Raw genomic sequence first — 23711 nt, forward strand, 5'->3', positions numbered from 1 at the left:
ATTCTCAAAGAGGCCCATGGCAAATTTTTGTGAGAATGCCTAACACAGTGTACGAGGGTGGGGAGGAAAAAAAATGCACTGAGAATATGCAGAAGTTTTCTCTTCTTACCAATTTCTTGGATTTATAAGAAAAAACTGGCTAAGAAAAAAACTCATTATAATTCTGTTTCATATAAATTCTCCAAGTTATTCAACTTTCATTTCAGCATAGATAGGTGGGAGGGCTACGGAAAGGCAAGTCCCCTTGATTCCCTACTTCAGTCAAGGTCCCAAAGAGGCCTTCGTTCTGATTAATTATTGGTGATCAGGTACGGTATTCACAAAACCCTTGCAGAAGCTTTTACATTATTTTAAAAACACATCTAAATGAATAAAGGCATTTGATTTTCTCATTTTATTCATAATGATTATTTCCAAATACAATTATATTCTGCTTTCTGTAACTATTTACAGAATTTTCTGTATCCTTTGTCATTAAGAAAACTTTATATCAGTGATGTCTTTTCATCAACCTCTTCACTGTCTTGAGTAGCAAGCATATACCTCTGCTCTAGATTCTCCTTCCTTCTCTGGTCCCTAGAAGATATCCTGCCACATTTTTGTTTAAAAAAATAGCATGCATGTGTATATATACATATATATGTATATATACAATGTAAAATTACATATGTGTGCATGTATGTGTATGTGTATAGTGTACATACTCAAACAGACATACATACACTTCAAATGAAAGAATGATCTCCACACAAAAGGGCTTCAGTAAGGATCATACAACATGAGTTCGTTAAAACACAACCCTAAGCTATCTAATCCTAAAGTGGAAAATTTTAAATGAGAAGAGAAAGTTTCTTCCTAATCATAATAACAAGGCAACAGGCCTTGAGGGAGAAATCTCAAGTTGACTCCAGTACATTACTCTTCAAGACAAGAAGGTTGCCAGAGGAAATCAGAGTTTGAGATTTCAGATGGTGCCAGTAAACACTACTTAAACCCACTGTCTTACCTTTAATTAGTGGATAACCTAACACACACATCCACAGATGGAAAACCTGTGCAATGATGGGAGTTCCCTAGACCCAAATTTCAAGTAGCAAGAGGACTGCTAGTTGATGGCTGCTTTGATCTTCTTAAGGAGACTAACATCCTGCTTCTGTAGAAAACTGTCTTCTTATTTGGATTTGTATTCTGAGCACCAAAAACACTGAATCTGGTTCACGGGAAGAGCTTAGTAAGTGTTTGTAAAATAAACATACACTGCTGGGACAAAACAGGAACAGCTATTGTGGTCAGAGAATACTATAGATATAGTAGTCTTCAATTAACCACGGTGTTATTTATGAGAATGAAAGTGCTAATTCATTCCTTTGAAACATTAAAAAAAAAAAAAGAAAGAAAGTAAATTCAACTGGGCATACCGTAGTGACTGCCGTGATTTGCTCCAGTGCCATCTCGTGCAGATGCTCATCTCGGCTCTCGAGGAGAAGTTTCAGAGATGGAAGCAGGAGGGACTGGTTAAGCAGCAGCAGACACAGCTCCTTCACACCCTGAAACCACAGAGCAGGGGTGAGCGAGAACTCCACGACGTACTTCTCACCGGCACGGTTCTGGCTGGATCATTCCACCCCTTTTTCTGTGGTAGCGTGTGTGTGTGTGTGTAAAGCCACATATGGTACCGCACTGGATATACTGAATATGGGCGTTGGTACCTGCTTCACTTGGTTCACAGTAAACTGTGTACAGATTTCCAAGCTATCAGATATTCATCGACAATATTGCTTTTTAATGGCTTTGTAATGCTCATTGTACAGATATAGTGGTATAATTTATTTTCCTAAACTCTCACAGCCCTAATTTCCTCATAAGTAAAATGTATGTATTTATAGCTCCTTTGCAGGTTTTGTGTTTTGTGTGTGTGTGTGTGTGAGAGAGAGAGAGTTTGTATTGATGAACGCAGCATACAACGCTCAGCATATAGTGGAGGCTGAATTATAATAAAAAGTATTATCAATTGCTAATATTGTTAACAACCTCTAGTTGTCATTCACTGAAACAAAGGAAATCAGCAAATAAAATATTTTAAAATGTATCTATCATTTTAATGTCAAAATGAATTGACTCCTTAATATACTTAAGACAGTCTATCTTCACGAAAACTATCTGTGTTGCAGAAAAATGAAAATGTGTTTGGATCCCCACAGGTGTATCTGAATTTTATTCTCAGCCCTGTATTTTACCAACTGAACCTGTGGTCACAGAGCAGGCTTTCGTATAAGGTAACAAATGATAATCCTTTACAACAAAAGCATAAAACAATAAGAATAAGATTTGCAATCTGTTTTGCCCTGCTGAGCTGTGTTGCCATTTAGGTCCTGACTTTAGCTGTAACATAAAGAAGAGAACACTTTGGACCAAAAACCAGACGATGAATGACTCCATTACACTAAAGCAAGGGTTGCTCTAAAGAACTGATGATCATTGCTATCCACGGGATTGATTTTTCTCTCGTGCCATTCAGACAGCAGATCGGAGAAGAAAAACTCAAATTTACTATATTTTCAAAATTGCTTTACATTATTATAGAGCATCAATAAAATAAGAATGACACAAGTAAGCTCGCATTTAAACTCAGGATAAAGTTCTCTTGGGAATTCTGCACATTATAGTTTTAGCTTTCACCCAGCATGTCTGCTCTTGAAATCTGCAAGGCCCTCACGTTTCAGAGTAGAAGGCTGTGCTACACAAACCTGTGTGACAATGATCAATACCAGCAGGGTAGCAGTTTGTAAAACACATTCCTCATACATCGGGAATTCTAATTCAAAAAAGTACGGTGTATGCCTGAAAGAACACGTGACACAGAGCAGTCTCACCAAGCATCTGGGGCAAAGAAACAGGCAGACTTTTCATCCGGGATGCCGAAACCTGCAGAAGATTATTTGGGAGCATGAAACAAGCTCCTGAGCATGGCACTCTGGCCTGGCTGGCCGCATCCTGTGGCCTCTTCCTCCTCCTCTCGGGTCATGGCAGTGCTCCCCACCTAAGCATTCCACACAAAGTGATGTGCGGGGCCCCTTCTGACACAACACACACATTCTGTATCTGCACTGCCCAATACCGCAGCCACAAGGCACAAGCTACATTTGAGGTGGGGCTAGTGCAACCGAGGAACTGCATTTTTAATTTTACTTAAAGGGTTTAATAAGCCACATGGGGCCAGCGGCTACCATATTAGGCAGTATGGCTGCTGGGTGCTGGACTCTCACACCTCCAGGTGTTTGCACATAGTGTAACTTTTGCTCTTTCTCTGTCTGATTAACCGTCTACTTGCTCTTTAAGTCTCAGTTTAAAAATGCACAGAAAAACTATACTTCCTCCGCAAAAGCACCCTTAAATGTCCCAGGTTAGCACTCAATGTTCTAAATGTACTGTATAAATATTTCCCACCTTATCTTTTATCTTGTATTATGGTAGTCATTCATCGGTCTACCTGCCTTGCTTTTGGGCAAGAATATTGTTCCTTCTCTGTATTCTAAACTTGCTTGGTACATGCCATACCTAAAACTCCTTGTATATAATTCCCTCTCTGAACACACATTTGCTCACTCAAAAAGTTATCAGTGATGAGTAAACATGCATTTTCAAGGATTTATGATATTTAGACATAGCATGACACTTGGCTGACCTTGGCTTTCATGACAAATTTTATGGAATAACCTGTGTGTCCCTCTGAGCAAGCATAATGGATAGATGGCACACAGAGAGGCAAGGATATCCAAGAAGGGAGGAACCCACTTTAGGTGAGCCACTGACTACTTTTCATCTCTTAGCTACCAGTGATTGGCCAAATACTTACTCTATCTTTAAGTGCTAAATCCTCTACTATGTTTGTTTGCTACTTTCCCCCTGTGTTGCAAGAGAACGTTTATTAAGAGATTTACAAAGGGATTTGGGGAACTGCAAGAAAGGTCGAAGCAGCAGAGAAAAGCCACAAAACACGTCATTTGACAGGCCTTCGCAGTTCAAACCTGTCAGACCATGAGGACAGAACGAACAAGAGATGCCTTGGATGGAGAGGACTAGGTGGGCCCAGGCTTAGAGCCAGGCCACAGACCTGGATGTTTCTTTTCCCAGTGGACTATGATTTATGAGATGCACTGGGGCACTGTTCCCATTGTCTGACAGTCATGAGAGAAGCAGGACCAGTTCACAAATATGCCTTCTGTCCTCACACAACTCTCCTACTGTCCCTGGAGTATCTAGCATCAAAAGGTGTTGCAGGGCCTACAGCAGGAACTAGGGGCACAAGGTATGCAGGGATTGGTGATGCAGAGACCGAGGGGCTTATCACATGCCCCAGGCATTGCATGGGGGCTGCAAGGCAGCTTGCAGTCCTTGCCCTCCAGCAGGCCTAGAATGGGCTGAGCTCCCATTGCTGTTGCCTGGATGTCCAGAAGCCCCTGGCACTGCTGGTTCTGCAGCCCCAGGTTGATCACAATCTTGGCCAGCTGGGCCTCCACACTGGCCACCAGGCACTGTACCTGGGCCAACTGGGCACTGCAGCGGCTTTGGTTTTGTGTTCTCCAGAGCCTCTCAGGTTGTGCTGGGCCTGCTGCTCGACCTCCAGGGCACTAGCCGTGCCTCTTGGACTGTGATCTCTACCAGCAAGGCAGCTGCTCTGAGCTGAACATCAAGTGTTTGTTATATACTTTGCTTTGAAATGCATCATCTCATTTAATTTCTCCTCAAATCCTTTGAGAAAGGTGTGATCTCAGCCCTACTAATCAGATGGGGAAAGCAGAGGTAAAATGGTTAAATAACTTGAGTGTTATTGCATAACTTGACTGATTCTAAAAATCAAGCTCTTGACATTAGCAAAAGTGGCTCAACCCTGATAGAGAACAATCACATTGACTTTTAGAAGCTGGGAATTATTAAGGCTCACTCATGAGCTGGGTGACTTAATCCCATACAATAGACCCCAAGCATCGGTGACTAACCCATGTTTCGTCTCAGCGAAATCCTGGACCTTCAGGGTCAGTCACAAATAGCGGGACCTCGGAATTTTACATCTATAAATGCCAACAAACTGTTTATGCCAATTTCTTATTCTACCTATTCCCAAGTCTTGAGAGGGCTTTATATACTGCCATGGATACAAGCTGAGAAGGATACATAACTTTTGAGACTGTGGTACACAGGACCTGTGAGAAAGTCACTCATCCTGCTGGTAATATTTTCCATCAGGAAAACCATCATGGCCATAAGTAAGCAAGTCCCAGGAGCAACAGCAGGAGTCACGAAGGCATTCTGAGGAGTCGTGAATTTTTTTAAAAGTCTGTAAGCATGGGAGCTTAGTGAAAAACGGGAAATGGAGATGAAGAAAAAGGTGAGTACTCTTAAGTACTCTGACATAAACAATTAGGCACACACGTTTCCTAAATCATGGAGTACGACAACCAAAGGTATTGAATTTAGGAAAAAAAAAATCATAAGTAACAGATAATTTTACCACCACAGTGATATAAAACATTGTAGAACTCTGAAATTAAACTCGTCAACTTCCAAGTGTAGTAAAATAAACTTAAAAAGATACTGCCACTTTTTAATAGTAATGTTCCTTCCTCTGTAACACTTTCAATTCACATTTGAGCACATTTAGCCATCAGTAAAAACAGTACATACCATTTGCAAATAGCCTCTAATCACAGCAGCCTCAGGAAAACATAATCTATAAATGTGCCCAATTGAGAGACAGAAACTGAGGCAGCTTAAGGAAAACGATGGAAAGTCACGGTGACAACAGAACTCTTTGAATAATTATCTTTTGTTTCATCAAATTAAAGAAACATGATAACGACCTACTTTGCAACGGGATTTAACCCAGTACCTTGTCTCTCATCCCGAGAGAATTACACATTTATGAAAGGTAGTGAATTATGTGCTATGGATGAAGCAGTACACATACAGCCTCAGCTCATTCTCCTTAGAGAATAGACAGAACTAGCATTTTCTCATCCAGCTTAACCTCTTCTTTCACAGACCAGAAAACAAAGATCCAGAGAGTTTGGGGCTTTTCTCATGTTCACACAGATGTGGCCCATTCTGGAAGAGAAACAGTACAGCTTCGAGCATTACTAGAGTTCTTTCTGTTCTACTATGTATGATGTTCCCTGCCCTTAAGGTGCTCCTAGTCTTAATAAAGAGCAGACGCAGTACATCCCTTCCCATGGAGTGTGTGAGGAGTGCTCTAACCGATGTGTGCTTTAGGTGCTGTGCTATCTTTTCTGACCTCTTAAAAAACACTTAGCAATCACTGACCAGATGATTCTGAGATCAAATGAGACCCCTGCAAATAAACTTAATGTATTACTCTATTTGTCAAAGTACCTCCCCCTGGCTGTAGACACTTACTAGGAAGCTGAATCATCACAGCTAAATCAGAACTTTTCATTTAACCACCAAGTCATTTTCCGATAGGAAACAGAAAGCACAGCTTCTTACACATTCATCAGTAAAAAGAACACGCTATTCTTCTATGTATGTAAAATGTAAATGGAATGCTGACGAGAATATTACTGCCATGGACACAGATATGTCTAGGACTTATTCCCAGGCGGCTAAAAGATAGTACATATCAAGTGGTCCCTATAGGTCGTTTTGGCCCCAGGGACTGGTTTTGTGGATGAAAATTATTCCATGGACTATGGAATAGTCCACCCCATGGAGGGGATAGTTTTGGGATGATTCAAGCACATTAGATTTATTGGGCACTTTATTTCTATTAGTATTACACTGTAATATCTAATGAAATAATTATACAACTCACCATAATATAGAATCAGTGGGAACCCTGAGCTTGTTTTCCTGCAACTAGATGGTCCCACCGAGGGGCGATGGGCTACAGTGACGCATCATCATAAGGAATAAGGAGTGCACAACCCAGATCCCTCGCATGTGTAGTTCACAATAGAGCTTGTGCTCCTATAAGAATCTTGTGCCACCACTGATACGACAGGAGGTGGAACTGAGACAGTAATGTAAATGATGGGAGCAGCTGTAAATACAGATGAAGCTTCACTCATCGCCAGCCACTCACCTCCTGCAGTGCAGTCTGGTACCTGACAGGCCATGGACTGATAGCAGTCCTCGGCCTGGGGTTTGGGGAAGCCTGATACACATAACTGTTACTGAGCCTTGATTAGCTAGCTGGTGAGATGATGTCAGGGTCAAGGATGCAGTGGCCATGTCATAGCCAACTTACATTCCTTGCCTTGCAAAAGTTACAGTAAAACCAAACCGATAAGAGTATTTTAAAGAACAAATAAACTTCTTCAGACAATGACAGAGATCCTAACAACCTTATATCTTAAATACTGATCATCTAGATGCTAAATTCTATAGGCCATTCTTGAAGGAAGTATTGAAAAAGGAAAACTGACAGTAACATTTATACAATTGTATGAGAGACATTCAATATTCATGTATCTCCCAAAGGTAGTAGGAATGGCTCCTCTGGAAGGATTCCTTTCTCAAGCTTTCAAGCACAGAGACTTGATTTGAAGATCAGACCCACCATTCACTGCCTGAAGAAGCAGGAGCAAGACCATTGACCTCAAACCCTCCAATCCATCAGCTGTCAAGTGGAGATAAATGAATCTCCTTACAGAAGGTGGTGAAGGTTAAAGGAGGCAATATAGATGAAAGCCCAAGAGTGTTAGCAAATGTTGGTTATCACCATTACCACCTCCTGTTAGGCAGTAACAGGAGACCTTAAACAATGCTTTCCTAACCTAGATTCGACAGAACTGACAGCAGAACACTGCTGGTCTTTGGTCCTGATCTAATAATGCTTGATCTTAGCTTATATTCAAGCAAAGGTGAATCTCATGTTATTTACATGTTGCTTACTTTGGTGGGGATAATGAAGTGCACTGAGTCCCCATACTACACAGTGGGCTGAATCCTGCCCTGGGTATCACAGACATGATATAGCCATGGTTCCCCCTCTCCAGGAGCCCACAATATAGCAGAGCAGATCACGGGTTCATAAGTGGCTGATACAAGCAGACCTTGGTCCACAGCCCAAATCACACTTTACTAGAGTAAGGGGAGGTAATTTTTGGTGCTGGTACTTTATTTTGTAGAATAATTGTGTCATTCTGGTAGTTGGAAGACTTCTTTAAATGGATAAAATATTTCAAAAATCAATAAAAAAAATCCAAGCCCTCATTCAGAAAACAATTCATTAAATGTGCATTCATGAGAATATTTTCCTTGAGTGATTACAATAAGGATTTAAAGGATCATATTTACAAATTTATTTTCAAGTTTATCTCCTACATAGTAGGAATGCAAAATCAATTTAATGCCATTATCCAAATGCTTAAATTTAAGACATGTAAATTATTCAAATAATATACCGCTGAGGTGGGATCCACAGCAGGGAGCTGAAATTAATATGTGCTTACTTTAGAATGTTCTCCCTCTTTCTCTCCATACATACATATATATATACACACACACACACACACACACACATATGTGTATGTATGTGTGTATATATATATATACACTTATGTATGTGTGTCTGTGTGTGTGTATATATATGCATATATATATAAAATATATATGTATATAATAAATGTCTCTGTGACAGTCAAAATGGCATCAAATAGAGAACAAAGGTCAAAAAGGAGGTGCCTGAGTTTTGACCATACTTCGCAGAGAAAGAATATTGTGATTATGCAATCTCGTTACAATGATGTCAAAAAGCATGTAAAATTCAAAGTGGTTGGTTATCTGCTGAGAAGAGTGCTAAAGTTTACTATTACTTTACCAACTGGCCTAGTTCAGACAGATAATGCCTGAGCTACCATGGCCACTTGGAACATAAACTTGAGTTTGACAAAAAAGGGCATCCAGAAGAAACTGAAAACTGGGTTATATTCTGGAACTTGTACAGGAAACGCTGGCCCCCACAAAAAGAAAGCAGCCTCAAAGCATCCTTTCAGCACTGCTTTTCTTCATCTGATCCATCAGAAATTATGGCCTTTACCAGTAATTACTTAAGCTAAATGTTCCTCAAATCCAGTCTCTGGGATTGCTTACAATAAAGAGTTCTGATAAGCAAAGGCCACTCCTTAGGAAAGCACTCAAAATATCCACTCACCTCTGCAGGCAGCATCTGCTTGGTGTTATACAAAGAGCGACACATTTTCAAAACTTCATTCCCCAATCCTTCCTTGTTCTCCATCGTACATCTGGTTAGCATCACTGTAGCTAGTCTCACCCATGGATTATTGGTTATGCTGGTGTTTATGGAGAAAAATACAAGGCACTGGAAATGACTAAAGTTATCATAATTGTGATAAATTTTAAAACAAGTGAAATGCTTACGGTAAATTACAATCAGAATCTAGGTGACGTGCTGCTTCAAGTCAACCTTGTAGAAAAGATAACACCTTAAGGAGAAAAAGCAGCTTCCTGTGGTATCAGCAAGCAGCCCAGCAGCACGGAGGTAGTAAGTGCATTGAAACAGCACAGGCTTTGTGAAGCCAGACAGACTCGGGCCCAAATTCTGACTATTTGGGTCCTCAGAGAAGTTATTTAATACTTTTGCCTAGTTGTATGGTTCTGGGGAAGTCACACCCTTCTGGGCCTCAGTTTTTTTCACTGTGAAAAGGTATTTAATGACTTTTTTTTCCTTGAAGAGTTGCCTTAATGAATGATGTATGTAATTGTGAAGAATCAGTGTTAATAGCAATCACACATTACTATTTACTACATAAATACTGCCTCTTGTTGATATTATTACTATTATTATCATTGTTATTGTTATTGTAATGGGGTCAGGGCAGGACTAAGTTACAATCAGGGTATTGCATAGCAGAGGTCAGCTGGGGAGCATAGGTTGAGGAAGCCACAGACAAGCAGTATGAAGATCATACTTTGGGCTTCACGTTGTTTCCTTGTATTGGAAACATAAAAGCATAAAAAAGTTTGCCGTTTCTTTCCCTTGTCTTGACTGACACTACCCTGTGTTTCATAGAAACATCAAAATTTCCATTTCTATTGACAAGTTAATGGTAAATTCATTTCATGGCCCAGGAGCAGGGTACTGATTTTACTTACATTAAGAAAAAATTACTATTTATGAAGAGTCTGTTGGTTCATTAGCACAGCACTACATTCTAGACATTGAACAACCAGGGATGGTCTTGCCCTTGAAAGAATTTTATTCCTTGGGCCCTGAAAAGAATTTCAAGTGCAACAGTAACAAGGGGACGAGCCCTTGGCAAAGCCTTTGTGTCTCAGCTCAAACTGACAATCTGTGCGAACAAAGAACACTGCTTACTTCAAGGTACACACAGTTCTGTGAGAGTGTCTGGTGTGCTGAGGAGTCTTCCTACACTCAAGGACTTCCCCTCTTTTCTCCTCTTGCAAAGTCTGAACTCAGCTCTCCTGGGTTTTTCTCTACAGTTTTTCTCATTGTAGGAGAAATGCTGCTTGGCCAGCATGGTGAACCAATGGGCAACGAGGCTTTGGTAACAAATTATCAAGATATGTTTTTCACCAGCCAGCAGTGATACACTGGATGAAAACAATGAATCTTCCTTAAGTACAAACTCAGTATTTTTCCATGCATTTTCCTACAAGGAACTAAAGCTAAAAAACCAAAGTTGGTACTAGTAAATTATAGTCATGTGGATCAAACAAATGTCTTAAGTTGTAACCTTTTTGTGTTGATGGGCAACATACCATCATTGTCACACTATCCTCCCTCTCTTCCACCCCCACTCCTTTTTTGGTGATTTATTTATTCAATTGGATTGTCTAAAAGGAAAAAATATTCAAAAGTACTTCTGAGCACCTGTTTGTAAAGTATCCCATCACACATTCTCCAGAATATTTGATTTATGCCCTGGTTATCTCTTAGGCAGAGGAGACATGAATGATAGGAGGGGAGGGGGTGAGCAGACTGGGAAATGCTTTGTTCTGATTCTAATGATTTAATAAAGCAGTTTTATAAGACTCAGGTTAGTAATTTACAAATTCCATTTCATATGTGGCTACAAAAGAATACAACTTTAAAAATTAAGATTTTTGGGTTTACAAATGCACTAAATGTTTTAAATGCAATAAATGTTTTAAGTAAAGCTGATTTTGGTTCTTGAGAATAAGTGAATGATTTTAAATGGTCAGTGTTCTAAAAGTAAAAGAAACTGTAAACTAAAGTTAATCTCTTAGAGGTGTCATATTTTGAATTGGGAAATGAGGGTTAAGAAGAAATCTACAATTCAACTCTAATAATTAATTTCCTTACAAAAGTATGGCATTAGTGGCAATCTGATCAGTGGGCTCCACACCTGTCTCACATAGTCTCACCCAGGAGTGTGTTCAGAACAGATTCCCAGGTCCCAGTATGGAGAGATGGACTCCACAAGTTGAGCACAGGACCCAGGACCCTGCTTTGAACAAGCACCCCAGGCTCCGAAGGCACCCACACCAAGATCACTGGTGGCAAACACAAGTGCACTGTGAACTAAAGGTGTTATGATGTGAGAGCCTGCACTGTGGATTTCAAATAGTGAAGGTAAAAACCTGTTCTTAAAAACAAGTCAGCATGCCATCGCTGCCACAAAGGTAGAGATCTAAGAAACATTTCTTTTCTTTCTGAAAACACTTGGTTAAAAAAATACCACAAAGTGAAAGCACCATTCTCCTTGGTTTGCTTTGGAAATTACTAACAGTCTCATGGAATCTTTTCCAGATATTTGTTGGCAGTCCTAACTGCTCACAGGATATAGGACTTTATTTTCAGAAAAGCATCCTTCTTTAACCTCAGACACGTGGAGATGTTCACTGGCCTGTGGGGGCAGTATGTCAGCTGAGCATGGGGAGAGCAAGATCAGTCCTGAGCCAAACAGGCACTTGCGACAAGGGCATTGGTGCTCATATCATTTGCCAATGAGAAGCCACAGCTCATGAGACCCAGTCCATGAGCTCAGAGGAAATCTGACCACTTCTTCCAAAGGAAAGGGGTATGTTCCATGGCTGATACCACCAGGACTGGATAAGTACCCCACGCAGCTACGGGTGGCAGCTGCAACTCAGTGTGACAGAGGAAACAACAGGGGCTGTGAAGGTAGCCAGCAGTTGGTTAGAATTCTGTCTCCTCCACTTATTAGCCGTGTGAAGCCTGAAGTTGTTTAACTCCTGAGCCTCAATTCCTTCATGTATAAAATCAGATAACATCACCTTCCCTTGTAGGTGTGTTGTGTGAGTGACTGATAATATATGTAAATTGCACATAACATTGTGTTCTCAATAAGTAGAAATTATTCATTTATTCCATTTGGATTCTCAAGTTGGCACTGTAAGCCGTGTCAAGACAGTCAAGAAATTTCCTGGTGAAAATACTGAAACTACATTGTTTTTGTTGACATCATAAATCAGATATTATCAAGCATTGTCTGATACTTTTGAATAAAATATTAGAGTTTAGGGGCAAGGAGAAACGGAAAGACATTGCAATATTTCAAAAACAATTTTAAATTCCTCTAAAGGCAAATACTGACTACGCACACACATATAATTATTCTTTCATTGGCTCTTTGGAAGGTGCTACATTTTTAGGGCTAAAGTCCAAACAAAAGAACTCTAATTACGCTAATTTTATGTTAATACTTACACATATTCACTTTTCATAGGTGGCCAAGCTTGCAAAAGTAAAACCAAGTGCTGAAATTCAGCCTCGTGGTGACTAGATTCCAGGAGTTCCATGAATAGACAGTAGCGGTTCTCTTCATTCTCAATGTCAGCTATGTCTACCTGGAAGAAGAAATACACACTTAAAGCTGGTGGCAAAGGCTACTGAATTGGTTTATAGAATAATTCTACTTTATTTTAATTAAACTTTTTTTTAAAATGTTTTACAATGTGTTAAGATTCAACATCAGAAAAACAACCACCTCAAAAGCTCTAAGCCTTACTCAATGTCAGATTATGTTAAAATTGTTTAGAACTACAATCAGAGGAAGGTTCTAATTAACTTTAACAAAGTAAATTCAAACAAGCAGACTTCCACAGAACTGGCTTGTTGGCATTTAATACACGTTAAGAGACTGAATTGCTTTATTTGAAATTGTAATATTTCACCATCCTCAACATTAGGTGAATTTTTTAAAGTTTAAGTTATCCCAACATGAAATCCTAATTTTCATTAGAAATGAAATCCTAATCTTCATGTTGTCTAGAAAATGTCTCTAATGTGAAATGATTTTACTAAAGTGTATCTGTCATAGAACTTTTTTGCTATAAATCAAAATAGAATAAAATATCCTTTATTTATACCTCCATTTCGAATGAAAAAGTAGTCTCTGCCAAATACAAAACACCCATTTTTCCTTTCATTGAATAACTAAACGATTTTTCTTTTACATTGAGGCAGTCCTAAAACAAATCACATCTCCAATGTCTCTGTGGATGAAAATGTATGCTATTTTAGGTTAAAAAACAGTTTTAAGCATAAAAATAAGCCAAAGTCTGGTTCTCTCATTTTCTAGCCTCAGCATAGATTGTTTATATTTAGGTACACAGACATTCATGATGATGAGTTCATAATGATTTGGGTACAGACATTCAGATGATGATACCTTGAAAGGATAATGAGAATGAATGGTTACCTGTATACATGCTACATTGTCTGCACTAATGCATATTTCCAAAACATTTACTTTAATGGTCATTCTGGCTCTGATCCCAAGAAGCCATCCGAAAAAGTCACACCATGAATTCTGCATTTTACAAAAGTTGCTATGTACTATGAAATTATCACTAATTGCTATGGGAAGCCTTGTTCACACAGTGACCCACCAGATCCTTCAAAACCTGCCTTAAAAGCCCATGTCGTTCTTCTATGGAATAATAGCCCACAGCCATTTTGTAGCTTTTTTGAAATAATTTCACAATACAGTCAGTCAGTTTACCCTTACAGCAGTTTTGTGTGGAGGACAGCACAGGTATTAGTAATCTCACTTTACAGATGAGGAAACAGGCCAACCATCCCGGTGGCACGACTAGCAAGTGACAGAGCCAAAATATCACTATAATCAGATCAGGATGTTCTGAAACTAGAAGATTCAATAAGCTACATAAGCTTTTGATAATAGAGTTGGACCTTGAGTTGGGAGTTTGGCAATGTTGCCTTGCCTATTTATAAAGAAACTTAAAAAACCAAAAACAAAAACTCAAGACATCCATCCATCCGTAATTCTCCGACCTCACCACCTTCAACCTGTCTCCAGCCTCAGGGTCCCTTTGAGGTCCCTTGCATACGTAAAATCATGCACACTCCCATCTCAGGCATTCTGATCTGTTTCCTCTGCCAGATACCCTCTCCACCAGATATCTGAGTGACTCACTCCCTCCTTTCAAGTTTCTCAAATGTCACCTATCAGTCAAGGCCTTGTTCAACTGCCTTACTTACAGGAGCACTGCTCCATACCTGTCCATCTCCTTCACCCTGTTTCATTTTCCTTCTTAGCACTTACAACTATGTGACATGCTATATATTTACTTGTTGCCTTTCTTCTTCCGTAAGAAATGTAAGATTGCCTTTCTTGTTCCATAAGAAATGTTAGCTCCTTGAAAGAAGAGGCTATTTTTTTTTTTTTTTTGTCCACTGGTCTATCTCAACTCCTTAAAATAATACCTGCTATAGAGTATATGCACAGTAAGTACTTATTGAGTGAATTAACTAGTGAATGGACATACATATGAATGAATGAGTGAATGAATGAATTTGTCACTTATAAAATAATTTAGTATAAATTATATTAAATACAAATGGAGTTGCCATAAATTTGTGGCTGGTTTCATTATTAGAGATTAATGTAAGATTTAAAAAGAAAATGATATTGCCAAAAGAAAAATTACTATTAAATTAAAAATCAGGACAAAAGACGGCAGGTTTGCTAACATTACAACTACACAAATGATACTTTGTGACTGTTAAGTGATTTCACTAAGGTCACTCTGGGCATCATATCTGAAAAATGGGTTCCAAAAATGTTGAAATCTCAGAAGTTTTGCTAGCCTTTTCTTCCTGCAGGATAATCTCTGTCTACATGAGAGTTTATATGCAGGAAAGGTTTGTGCTTAAGAAGTATCTAAAATCCATTGTAAGAAGTGTTTCCAATGTTCCTAGCAGTGTCAATATTCCAACTACTATAATTAAATGCAGCATAGTTAGTAACAAGTAGTTTCTCCTTTTTATCAAATGTACACTTTATATGGGTTATTTTCTGTATGTGATGCACTGTATGAATAGGAAGAGATTAACAATAAAAGAATCATGTTTTCAATACCATCTAAATTTATTCCTGAACTTTTCAGAAACTGTAATATACATTTTGAGGAAATAAACTATATCATAAGGGAAGAAAAGAGAACAGAAACTATAAGTTAAACCTTTATATTTGTTTTTATAATAGTGTGCAAATAATAGTTCCCATGTTTAAAATGTATTTGATAAATTATTTTTGTATAGCACCTTTCTCACATGTAGTCTTTTTAAGAGTATGTCTTTGTCAGAAAATGTTTTCTTCTAATGTCCACTAATCATTCCAATTTTTAGTAACTTACTTTTCAGAGCCTTGACCCCCATATTTTAACTAAAAATGTGAAAAATACAGTAACTTACATACTTATCCATTTGTGCATGCTTGCATACTCCATCATATCAAAGCGTTTCAAGTCAAGTTACTCAGCTCTTAAGAATGCAATTTTAAATTTGCTACCACTGTAGCTGCAAGCTTTACCTTCTATGAGAGAAGAAAATTGGCCTAAAAATGGACTTCAGCACATATTTTTAAAACATGATAAAGAAATACTTGGTTTGATAATTGTTATATACCTTCAAATACAACAAGTGCTCATCTAAGATTGTGCCCAAATATTAAAATATCTAAAAAACGAATGTTAATATTATCTTCTTTATTACATCCTTTAAGATTTTTTGCAATAAATTCTGGTGAATTTTGAATTTTTGAGAAGAAAATGGGCCTAAAATTAGACTTGAGCATATACTTTTAAAACATAATAAAGAATATACTTGGTTGGATAATCATGATATACTTTGATATATAACAAGTGCGAATCCAAGATTTGTGTCCACAAATTCAAAAATTCAAAATGAATTTTTGTGTAAAGAAAAATAAAAGGTAAACTTATGTAAAGGGCTCCCAGTCTGAACAACATGGCTTATCCACTTCTCTCTGCTCCTCTGCAAAGCACAACTATAAACTATAGGAGTCATAAAAGAGACAGTGAAGGGAAAATTCTGAAGAGTGGTAAAAAGAAAGTACACTAGCCTGGAGTTGCAAGCCTAAAGAACATGGTATTCAGATATCTTCTGTCTCTCCAGCCAAAAAAAAAATCAAAATAAAAGAAGCCCACCCAGACCTAGTATTTCCCAATTCTGGACCTAGAAACAGACCAGAGCTCAAGCAGACCCATTTGCAGTCAGAATCCCACAAGAAAAGGAGAAAGAGCGTGAAGCTAAAAGATATTATAAGACATATCTAAAAACTTCCAAAATTTGGTAGAAGACACAAACCCACACATTCAAGAAGCTAAATTATTCCCAAACAGGACAAACACAAAGAAATTCATGCCAAGTTACACCATAATTTGAAACTTGAAAAGTAGGTAGAAAAAGAAAAATTTTGAAAGCAGACAGAACAACGTTACCTATAGGAGAACATTAATGTGAATAATAATGGATTTATTATCCAAAATCATGGAGGCCAGAAGGAAGTGTCGCATTTTTTCAAATGCTGAAAGAAAAGAACGGTTAACTACAAATTCTTTATCTGGCAAAGCTATTCTTCAGGAAAAAAAGAAAATGAAAACATTCTCAGACAAAGACAAATTAAAAGAACCTGCCACTAATAGCCCTCATCTTAAATACTGGCTAAACAAAGTTCTTCTTTCTTAAAGAAAATGATAAAAGAAGGAACTATGAAGTATCAGAAGGAAGAACAAAAAGAGCAAAAATATGGGTAAATACAATAGACTGTTCTTTTCCACATACATGTTCTAAATCATATTTGATGATCAGAACAAAAGTTGTAAACCATATGACATTCAAGACAATAATATTTAAAAGTGGGGAAGGTAAAGGGACTGACCCAAATATGGAGGTGAGATTTCCATATTACATGCCAAGGCTAAGATATCCACTCCTACCACTCTTGTTCAGCACCATACTGAACGATCTAGCCACTACAATAATGCAAGAAAAAGAAATAACAGAGACATAAATTGGAAAGAAAAAATAAAATTCTATCTACAGATAAATTGTCTATATAGAAAATTCAAAGAAATCACACACAATAAAACAAACCCTAAAACTAAGAAACGAGTCAGGAATGTCATAGGATACAAGATCAACATATAAAAATCAATCACATTGTTATATAACAATAAATATGTGAAAACCAAAAATAAACATGTATTATTTATAATAGCTCCAAAGAAAATAAATTATTTACATGTATAGAATCTGCTATGGTTTGAATGTCCCTTCCAAAATTCATGTTGAAATTTAATTGCCACTGTGATAGGATTAAGAGATGAGATATTTAAGAGGTGATTGGGTCACGAGAGTGATGCTCTGAATGGATTAAGGCTCAGCTAGGGCCTGCGTTAGTTTTACTGGGAATGGGTTCCTGATAAAAAGGAAGAGTTCCACCTTGCCCTCTCTTGCTGGGTAAACAAAGTCACTCACAAAGGGTTATATACATACTGTCTGATTCCATTTATGTAATATTTTTGATATGACACTCTGAAATGGGGGAAAGATTAATGGTTGTCAGGGGTTAGGGATGGGGTGGATGTGATTATAAAAGGGATCCTTGTGTTGTTGGAACTATTCAGTATCTTTGTTAGAGTGGGTAGCTAGGCAGACATGAGCAGGGTAGGAGAGGAAACAGACTCCACTCCCTTGACACCAGGAATGTTAGGTGACCATCAGGTGATGGTCAAGTGGTTGTTAAAATGTCTCTCTAAAATAATTGGTTGCAGCAGATATCAGGGAAAGGCAGTCTCCCAATAGACAGAAAACTCCTGAAGCTGGTGATCAGCAGCTTCCTGATTGGATCTCAGGAGTTGGGTGAGTGGGCTCAAGCATGTACACTAAGAGGCAAAATGGTGGAGTTTAACTGGTATATGAACATCCTGTAGGAACACTACACTGGTAAGAAAAGAATGGCTCAAGTGAGCATGCGTACAACTCTAGTAAACACACTGCGCACACAGCCCCTTCCAAGGGCTGGCATGCCATGGAGCATGTGGACAGCTCATGCCAAAGAAAACTCAAAGGAGAGGAGACACAAAACCCCAGAAGCATGCCAATGTGTAAATCCCCAAGTCAAAGGTCAGACAGGGCACTTGAATCTCTCAAGTTGCCTGCTTGGCCTTCTTCCAAATGTACTTTCGTTCCTTTCATTCTTGCTCTAAAACCTGTTAATATACTCTCACTCACACTCAAAAATTTGCCTCGGGCTCTCTCTGCCTTACATCCTTTGGATGAGTTCTTTACTTCAAGAAGGCAAGAACTGAGTTGCTACAAAGCCATATGGATTTGCCATTGCTAACATCTTGACTATGGTGCTGGTTATATGAACCTATACAGGTATAAAACTGCATAGCACTAAATACACACAAAGACACACAAATGAGTACAAGTAAAACTTGAAAATTCTGAATAAAACCAGCAAATTGTATCCATGTCAATATCCCGGTTGGATATTATACTGTAGTTTTGCAAAATGTTACCATTAGGGGAAACTAGGCAAAGTGCACCAGAAATTGCTCTGTATTATTTCTTACAACTGGATATGAATCTATAATTATCTCAATAAAAATCTAAATTTTGAAAAGGAGGATGAAAATGAATGCAATCAGAACAAACTTCACAGAGGAAAATGCTTATACAAACAAAATGCAGAAAACAAACTAAATCATGATGTAAAAATAAAGATGAATAAGCAGAATACAATTTGAGGGGAAAAATCCCTATACATGATGTGACATAATTTGTATAAAGCATGCAGCAGAAAAATGGCTACATATATATTTAATATAATGTTTACACTTGGATGACAGATCTGTTGGTGATTATCACTTCTACCTGCCTTTTGGTACTTTTCTTGGTTTAACATGCATTGTTTTCATAATTGGAGGTTTCTGTTTGTTCGTTTAAAGAAAGAAACATACACAAGAACCACAGGAAATTGGCATGCCTGTTTAACAGATGGGTCTGTATTTGGTGACTTATCCTTCCTTTATTAAACCATAAAATCACTTTATAAATGATCAGTTATGGCAAAAAGAAAACAAAGATACAACACCACACAAAATGAAATAAAAAATAGGGCTTTTCAAATCTACTGACCACTAAGGATCCATTCCCTGACTTCAACATAAAGATAAAATTAAGAAAGCTTGCTGATACCTTAGGGGTGCAGTAGAAAGCAAACTAAGTTTGAATTGTAGTCAACAGTGTTATAAACAGGTCTCAATGCTATATATAAGAGCCGTCTCAATGCTATGTATAAGAGCCGTCACAATTTAGTGGCTATTAGGTAGGACTGTACAGAGGCTTCCTCAGTAATGAAGTGAAGCATAAACATATATTTTGCATAGCCAAAGTCATACAATCCTAGTTTTTCATTCCAACCCTCATCTGCTCACTACCCCTTGCCACTTATTACAATACCTATGTAACCTGGTGCAAACAGTCTAGCCTAGGTCTGAGTTTCTTTATCTGTAATTTGTGCTGATGACGTCTACTTCATAGGGTTATATTCATTCAATTCCACAAACACTAACTGAGCATCTACTTTTTTTTACTAGAGATACAGTGATTGGAGAGATGACCATTCAATTTGTGAGAATTAAGCAAGACAAAGCCTGAGAAATTAGACAGACGATCCTCAACTAATAAGTTTATGTCTTCCAGTCCTACGAGGAGTTCTGTCTCATGCCACACACCATGGAAAGGGAAATTCTAGCCCTCTCTTGTTACTCTCAGCTTCAGTTCTAAACATCTTGCCCCAATCTACTCCTTGTAATGGTACTTCCTCCCATTACTATGTTTCTAACCTGTAACTTGTCCATTTGCCTATGTTGACCTACTTTGATATTAAGGACTTAATGTGTTCCTCTGCCTACATTTGAATTACCCCCATCTCAAACATCCCTCTCAATTCAACTCAGCTTCTGGAATCAAAAAGTCAAATGCTCTCCATGTTCCCTTTTAGTTTTGCTGAAACTGCAAACTGTTTTGCATATGATTATGCAAATGCAGATATGATTCAAAAGAGGGTCTTTTTCCATGAGAAGTAGATTATGGACATTGGCAGTCTGGACAAATCAGTTGTCTTCATATATTGTGAGACATATAAAAATGAACACACACAAAGTAGACATTTTTATTCTTTTCATTTAGATGGTCATATAAAACCACAGGAAGAAAGTGTCAGTTGCTCTGCAAGCATAGTTAACTTGGATATTTAAGAAAAGGCCTTAGCTCTACAGTAAATATTTGGCAAATGAATGCTCATTTATATATTTAGTTTCACACAAATATTTAAGGTATGCATATATCATATTTTATGATCTCCACTTTAATACACAAGTACCTGACTCAGGTGGTAGTTAGAAGGCTTTTATTGTAACACATTCAATCTGATAAAGGTCTTAAGAGACATACGGTTTATAGTGCTATAAGAAGTGAGAAGTTAACTCGAGATCAGGAAGGGGACAAGGTGGCACACGAGAAAGGATCTGAGGGAAGAGTAGCATTTGGACATGTAGAGGTAAGGGAAAAAAGAGAAGACTGGGTAGAGATGAGGGGAGTCAACAGAGGGATGCTGAGTAGTAGTTTGTGGCTCATGAAGGTGAACTGTGGTTGAAGCGGTAAATAAAGTGTGCTGGGGCCAGAACATGAGGACAACTACATGCTTGGGAACATTGTGTATGTTCCAAAGGTTGAAAATACTGATGCCAGTTCCTCTGAGTTTTAGCTATAATTAAATCCTAGTGGTCAGCAGGGAATATGGAGCAAAACAAATGATTAATATACATTTCTTGCAAAATAGCACAATACAAATGATAATTTTGTCTACTTACTTTCCGAAAGACATCTTTGGCCCAATGTATGTGCATACTATAGCTAATATTGCTCATTAAGAGTTAGAAAAATTGGCCGGGCGCGGTGGCTCACGCCTGTAATCCCAGCACTTTGGGAGGCCGAGGCGGGTGGATCATGAGGTCCGGAGATTGAGACCATCCTGGTTAACATGGGGAAACCCCGTCTCTACTAAAAACACAAAAAATTAGCCGGGCATTGGTGACAGGTGCCTGCAGTCCCAGCTACTCGGGAGGCTGAGGCAGGAGAAAGGCGTGAACCCATGAGGCAGAGCTTGCAGTGAGCTGAGATTGTGCCACTGCACTCCAGCCTGGGCGACAGAGTAAGACTCCATCTCAAAAAAAAAAAAAAAAAAAGAGTTAGAAAAATTAACCTTAAGTTGAAGAAACAACTACGTCATAAATCTAACAAATTATCTGAAAAAAATTAGAGAAGGAAATATTGCCCTAAGATCACAAATCACAAAAGATGAAGCAAATGGGTCTCAGAGGCTTACTGAAGTTGTGAGAACATGTGATTAGTATGAATATTACAGAAATTTGAATTCGCCAAAATACTTGAAAATAAGGCACGTGGCTTAGCATGGATGTGGACCTAGAAAAGAATCAAATTCTCTCTTTGCTAGAAAGTAGTATAGTACCTATAAAATACATATGTTCCAAGCATCTAAATATATTTCATAAAGTATGAGGAGTACAGAGATCTCATGTAAGTCTCCAGATAGTTACAATGGGAAATTACTATAGAATATATTTTAATTTGAAAATTACAGGTAGTTATCAAATGCTTCAACATATCTCACTACAGGAATTATAAATGATAATAGGTAAATTTGATTAATACATGGCTTTCAAAAAGTGATGATAAAGTCAAAATAATACAGAAAAATGTTTATTATGGAGACATTTACTGACCTTTTTAAGACTTGATTTTTTCCTCTTCCATAGGACAGAGATAACAAATACTTATATGATGATTGTGAATACTAAATAAGATAATGGGAATAAAGTAGCTGGCAAAGATTGGTGCATAGTAGGCACACAGGAAATGATAGGTATTACATTATCAACCACATAATGTACCAAACATTAAAAACAGAAAGCTGGATTTTTTTTTTTTTTTTTTTTTTTGAGACAGGGTCTTACTCCGTTACCCAGGCTGGAGTGCAGTGGCATGAATCAGGGCTCACTGTAGCCTGAACCTCCTGGGCTCAAGTGACCCTCCCACCTCAGCCTCCTAAGCAGTTGAGACCACAGGCACATGCCACTATGCCTGGCTAATTTTTTTATTGTAGAGATGGGGTCTCCCCATGTTGCTCAGGCTGGTCTTGAACTCCTGGGATCAAGTAATCCTCCTGCCTTGGTCTCCCAGAGTTATAAGCATGAGCCACTGTGCCTGGCCAAAAGCTGGATATTTGTTATGATTACTTCTACTGAGAATTATGTCTATAGACTAGACAGGACAGGAAAAGAAGACAGACAAATATGTCTGTTTTGGGAAAATAAAATTGTAGGTTGATTTTCATCTCTTTTTAAAATCTCATTTACTTGTGCAATAAATATGGTATTTCAAATGACTCTTAAGCATGCCTTCCACAGATTAGTGAAAATAAACAAAATAAACTATTTTTTTTTACTACATTTTCTTTTACTTTGTCCTTTTGCCCAGTGAACAAGAAAGTAACATATACCTCTTTTAACATCCCCACCCCTTCCACAGTGAGTGTCAAACAAAATCCTGGAGGTGAAAACGTCAAATAGTTTACAGGCACCTGTAATAGTTAGTGTTATTTCATACTGACACAACTAACAAAACATCCTAGGATTATAAAGAACAAAATTCAAATGTGACTCAAACATAAGAATATTTTTTTCCCTTTTGTCTCTGAAAGCACTGTTTCTCTCCTCATTGAATTAGGTGACTTTTGCCCTTGTTGTGTATGTCAATTTGTCATATAGCTGCAGCCTTCTTATCAGACACAGAGTCACTGTCCTTGAAAAAGTGAACTAAGTCACCTATTATCAGTAGAAGACAGTCTTAACCTCAAATTTCTCTATGGCTCCTGGAAGTGAACACAAATATCTTAAATTAGGGTACTTTTGAAATATGCATCTTCCTACAGGTATTGACAGTTGCTTATTTTATCTTTAGAAATTTACAAATATGATGTAGTTATTAATACATTTAAAAGTACTTTATAAATAGACAAGATTTACAAATATGAAGAGAATTATTCCTGGCAGTAGAGACAGTAACCACCATATTCTTTTTAAGAAATGTTTTTTACTACTATTTTATTGCTCCAGGTAACTCACAGAATAGTAATCACCATACTCTTATCTTCCATAAGAACTGGTAAGCTGTTAGCCTGCTCCTAAGAGACTCATATAATGACACTTGATTTGAAGTTGCAAAATAACTGTGCAATACCTTTCATGAACACAATAAAGTCATATTGAGATGTCGTTGTATGCAAGGCTTCAAAAAACAG

The 23711-nt window shown here is 38.0% G+C and overlaps 1 protein-coding gene across 11 annotated transcripts in view; it reads right to left on the reverse strand.

The window, feature by feature from the left end:
* Positions 1–23711, reverse strand: part of NBAS (NBAS subunit of NRZ tethering complex) — a 782426-nt gene that overhangs the window by 398661 nt on the left and 360054 nt on the right. For 9 of the 11 annotated variants that reach the window (XR_007076390.1, NR_052013.3, XM_017004317.2 and 6 more), the window contains 3 exons: positions 12695–12834; positions 9173–9311; positions 1419–1547 (listed from right to left, as the gene is read on the reverse strand). Coding sequence is in view for 9 of the 11 variants with exons in the window: in XM_017004317.2 (XP_016859806.1) it covers positions 1419–1547; positions 9173–9311; positions 12695–12834 (408 nt within the window). In the remaining 2 variants the exon portion in view is untranslated. The remainder of the gene's footprint in view (positions 1–1418; positions 1548–9172; positions 9312–12694; positions 12835–23711) is intronic. The other 2 variants (XM_047444734.1, XM_011510358.3) reach the window with 1 other exon arrangement.

This window comes from Homo sapiens, chromosome 2 (assembly GCF_000001405.40).
Source record: "Homo sapiens chromosome 2, GRCh38.p14 Primary Assembly".
In the NCBI taxonomy this organism is placed as follows: Eukaryota; Metazoa; Chordata; class Mammalia; order Primates; family Hominidae; genus Homo; species Homo sapiens.